General features: G+C 48.9%; 1 annotated feature.

Moving 5' to 3' along the window:
* Positions 581–1,508: an enhancer, noted in NCBI's record as "H3K4me1 hESC enhancer chr11:134775628-134776555 (GRCh37/hg19 assembly coordinates)". NCBI's record gives its function as "activates a minimal SCP1, AML or CMV promoter by ChIP-STARR-seq in naive H9 embryonic stem cells {active_cell/tissue: H9 hESC(naive)}" and the evidence as "EXISTENCE:reporter gene assay evidence [ECO:0000049][PMID:30033119]".

Raw genomic sequence — 4,796 nt, 5'->3', positions numbered from 1 at the left:
TACCATGTTGCCCAGGCTGGTCGTGAACTCCTGAGCTCAGGCAATCCCCCCACCTCGGCCTCCCAAAGTGCTGGGATTACAGGCATAAGCCGCTGCTCCCGGCCATTCAGGTGCACTTCTGAGCCAGCATGCAGAGGCTTAGAGCCTGCCAGCACTCAAGGAGGGTATGCCCACCTCAACAGGTGCTCCTGGGCCATTGAAGGATGTAGCCTCAGTTCACCTTCAGGAAGAGGCTGCGTTCCGGCCCCTGGATGATCTCTATGCCAGAGACAAAGTTGGAGAAGGAGCCTCGGGGTTCACTACTGACATGTCAGCCTGGCCACCACGAGGAAGCCTGGGGATGGGTGGGAGGAGTTCCACCTGTCTCCGCCTGGTCATCTACCTCAGCTGTGGAGCTTCTCAGATGAGCAAAATGTGGGCAGCAGGGAAGGGGCATCGTCCAGCCCCTGCATCCCCCCGATCCCCGGCCGTGAGCACACTCACGTGCTGGCTGCTTTCCCGCTCTCCGCACTCAGACGAGCCACTCTTCCTTCTGTTTTATTCACATTTCCTTTCACATTTCAGGTTCTGCCATCGGTTCTTTTTATCTCACCTTTCGGGCAGAGCTGTCTCCTTGCATTCTCCCTGACTTTCCCTCATGTCCTCCACACAGTACACTTTCTGATCCTTTCTTGCCTCCCTTTTCCCTTTTAGTTCCCATTTCTTTCCTCTGCCTCTTGTCTGCCCCGTTCTCATCCCTGTCTTCCCCTCGCTTTCCTCATCGCCTCCTGTTCTGTCTGGTCCACCTCCTGCTCCGTCTCTCCACCTGCTCCCTGCTCCCTCCCGAGTGCCCGCAGGTGCTGCTCACTGCCAGTCAGGACCCATCCTGAATACCAGCTTCCCCAAAACTCTTAAAAACAAAATCAGACAGACATGAGGGTCGGAGATTTACTCATACTCCAGACGTGAGCTCTGCTCTTCCCCTGAACCGTTCCACCCTTACCCAGCCCACGCGGTGCCTGGGGAGTGCTGATTTCCTGCCACAAAATAAAAATCAGCACAGCTGGAGCCCCCGATGACACGCTCCCTGGGCAGAAACGTGGCCGTGGTAGGAGGTGCTGGGGCAGCCCCTCATGAAGTAAGTGAGGTCACTGCCAGGACACCGCAAACAGGGGAGATGCCTGTCCTTCGCAGGGACCCCCACAGCGGGCTGACAAGTTTATTGAATGTTTATTTGGACCCATTCCAGGATCGCCTCCCCACACTTGGCAATGAGCATCTGCCCCGGCTCCCAGAGGAAGCTCAGCCAGCCTTTCCTCACCAGCTTACTTTGCTGCATAGAGCCCCCAAGGACTGGGTGAAGCTTGAAGGCTATTTTTATGTCAACATCTAGAATCACAGATATTTTGGTACTTAAAAAATCTCAGCAAGTAGGAATGAAGATTTGGGGTGAACAAGGTTACCAGAAAGGCCTCCTTTTCCCTGGTCTGTCCTAAGAATGTGGCCACTGTTGGCAGATGACACTGGCTTGGCTCCAGCCGCCTTCCCTAGAGTGCCTCCTGCAGCTGGAATCCTCAGCTCTTTGCTTTCAAAGCTCTCTTGCTCCTATTCCAGGATAGATTTGCTATTTCCTGAGACACTCTGGAACTTGTCAGAGTCCAGCTCTGTTCTCCGTTAGAAATAAAGTTTCTTCAATAGATAACTGCTTCATTTCAAAGGCATATTTTTGGGTCAAAAATGTCATTAATACATCTCGGATTAATATAGGAGATGAGATAATGTCTTCTAGAAATAAAAGTCCTTCCATTCTGTTCCCACAGAAAACAAAGCAATTCCCTGGGTGGACGTAGTGGGCTTGGATAGCCCAGCCCCATCATCCTGCATGGGCTTGGCTCGAGGAGACAAGGAGGAGGAGAAACCTCACGGTCCAAGGACACAGAGGCCAGACTGGACATGGCCTTGCCCATCCAGATGTGCAGGTCTCTGCAGGTGTCTTCCTCTTCACCGCAGTAGGAGGAGACCTGAGCAGGTGCAGGTGCACATCCACCATTGTTGCCTGGCATTGGCTGTGCTGGAGCACAGATGAGGCAGCTGGGGAGAGACTTTATTAGCAGAGCACACTGAGAAAGAGCAGAGTGCGAAGTACATTGCAAAACTGGAAGCCGAAGAACGTTCTTGGGTTCCATGAATAGGCTTCCCTTAGGCCCCATGAAAACAGGAAGGGCCAAAGACAGGGATTTGAAACACAGAATTTCCAGCTGAAATGAAGATGAATCACTTGAAGAACTTGATTTTGGCCTAAATTCAACCATGTATTATTTCCTGAAAACATTTAGCTTTTATATACCCATCTACCACATAGGTTGTAAGAATATTTAAGGCAAGATTTGATCAAGAAACCTCACCCGAGAATAAGTTTCAGTGACTTACTGCACAGCAAAGAACGATAGTTAATAATAATTATATATTTCACAATTGCTAAAAGAGTACATTTTAAACGTTCCCACTTCAAAAAAATGTTAAGTATGTGAGGTGATGGATATGTCAGCTGGCTTGATTCAAACATTCCACAATGTATGTGTATGCCAAAAAATCCCATTGTACCCCAAAATATATACAATCATTATTTGTCAGTTAATAAAAAAATAACCTCACCAGAACTTTGACCATAGCAATGGCCTAAAAATGTTCCCTGATTTTTACACTATAAAATATCAGAAGCATGGTTCTGTTCCTCTCTCCACCATGGCCTGGACCCCAGCAGCTGTCTGGAGAGGAAGGAACAGCCCCCTTGGCTGCTTCTCCAGAAGCAGGAACTGGCCCTCTGGGTCCCGCAGCTCCCTCTGTCCTGGCTGCTCTCAGGCTCCTCTGTCACATCCCGGGTGAGGACGGCGAGTTGTGCTGAGGAGTCTTGGATGGAATGGAACCATGAAATCACAGTGAGGAGCTAGAGGGATGCACGTCCCATGCATGCACTAATTGGCAGCACCAGGTCTTTCCCTGGTTTACACCTTAAGCGGCTGGGCCTGGCCTGGTTCAGTGGGGGACGTGAACCCCACCTTCTGTGGCTGAAGGAGAGACAGCCATAGTGCTCTGTACCCCTGGGTTGAGCAAGACCACATTCAATCTGGGTGGTGCCTTTTTGCTGTCCTAAGGCACAGTAATAATGGAAGAAAGTGTAAATTCTTTTTTTTTTTTTTTGAGACAGAGTCTCGCTCTGTTGCCAGGCTAGAGTGCTGTGGCGTGATCTCGGCTCACTGCAACCTCCAACTCCCTGGTTCAAGGGATTCTTCTGCCTCCGCCTCCCGAGTAGCTGGGATTACAGGCATGCGCCACCATGCCCAGCTAATTTTTGTATTTTTAGTAGAGATGGGGTTTCACTATGTTAGCCAGGATGGTCTCGATCTCCTGACCTGATGATCCACCCGCCTTGGCCTCCCAAAGTGGTGGGATTACAGGCGTGAGCCACCACACCCTGCCAAAAGTGTACATTCTTATCAACATCGAGCAAAAAAGGAGTTTTGCCTTTTGTATTTTTTTAATCTCAGAGGAAGAGCCCATAGTTGCTGAAAATGTCTCTTCCCACTGTCCCCTCTGCTCTGGTATTTGAACACCTCCTGGCCATTTCTGTGAACTAGATGCTGACAGCTCCTAAACCACCCTCCATGTTCAGAAATATCTTCTATCTGGCTGGGGCTCAGCCAGAGCCAGAAAAACAGGCTGAGAACAGGTTCTATGGCTGAGAATTCAGGCCTCTTGTATTAAAGCTTGCTGGAGAAAAAAAAATGTATTCCTCGGTGGACTTATGAATTGAGATTGAGTGGTTCAGCTTCAGCTGACCTAAACAGGTTGTTCTCTTGGGGGCTGTCAACCAATATTCTAGGGAGGTGCTGGAAAGATTTGGTCAAGCCATTCAGTCCCCAAGCTCCTCGGCCCCCATTATCAGCATGAATGTCTGATGGTTCCGATCCTGTACCCTGCTCCCCAGGCTTGGGCAGAGACTTCCCAGTAACAACCTGCCTTTTCTGCCACATCTTCCCTTGCTCCCTCATTCACTCCTGCATCCATTTATCCATCTAAACACCTACCAGCAGCCAGGCATTAGCAAGGCCCCAAGGCAATTAAACATAGTTCTAACCTCCCTAACTACAGAAAGGACTTAAGAACCTAACTCGCATTTAAGGCTGTGTGATAACTAAATGAGATAATATATGTAAAGCACTTATACATGGCTGATAAGTAATACAAAATAATAACAACCATCGTGACTCAAGGTGCAGTGCCTAATCTCGGAGAGCTCCCAGCTTCTGGGGTCTCTGACAACAAGGAACAAGTAAATGACAACAGCCAAGGTCCCGGGCATGCTGGTGGAACTGACCCTATTTCTTAAACTCCAGCCTCTGCCTTTGCCTGTTCCAGGTGCTTAGAGGCTATATTTGCAGTGGTGTGAGTTCACATGGGATTTGAGCCCCTATTTTACATCTTTCTCATGTGCAGAACAAGCTGCTTTTCCAAAGCACAATAACACATTTCCATGGAAACCACTTCATCCACTGGGACTCATCTCACTGATGCTGCTACAGTGAAATTTTGTTGATGATATTCTTTAAAAAGATGACCAGTGTGTGTGCATGGACACTTAGTGTGTTTGTTTTCAGGTATACACAGACACACACACACACACACACACACCACTCACACAATCCTTTTTAATGGCTTTCTTCCGTAGAGTTTTAGCACAGCAGATTGATTGTTACTTAGGAAACCATGACGTCACCAACACCACGTACATCAGCAAAGCTGTCGTTGCATCAAAG

The sequence above is a fragment of the Homo sapiens genome, chromosome 11 (genome assembly GCF_000001405.40).
Source record: "Homo sapiens chromosome 11, GRCh38.p14 Primary Assembly".
NCBI lineage: Eukaryota > Metazoa > Chordata > Mammalia > Primates > Hominidae > Homo > Homo sapiens.
Note: the sequence above shows the minus strand (reverse complement) of the source record. Positions and strands in the feature narration are given on the sequence as shown.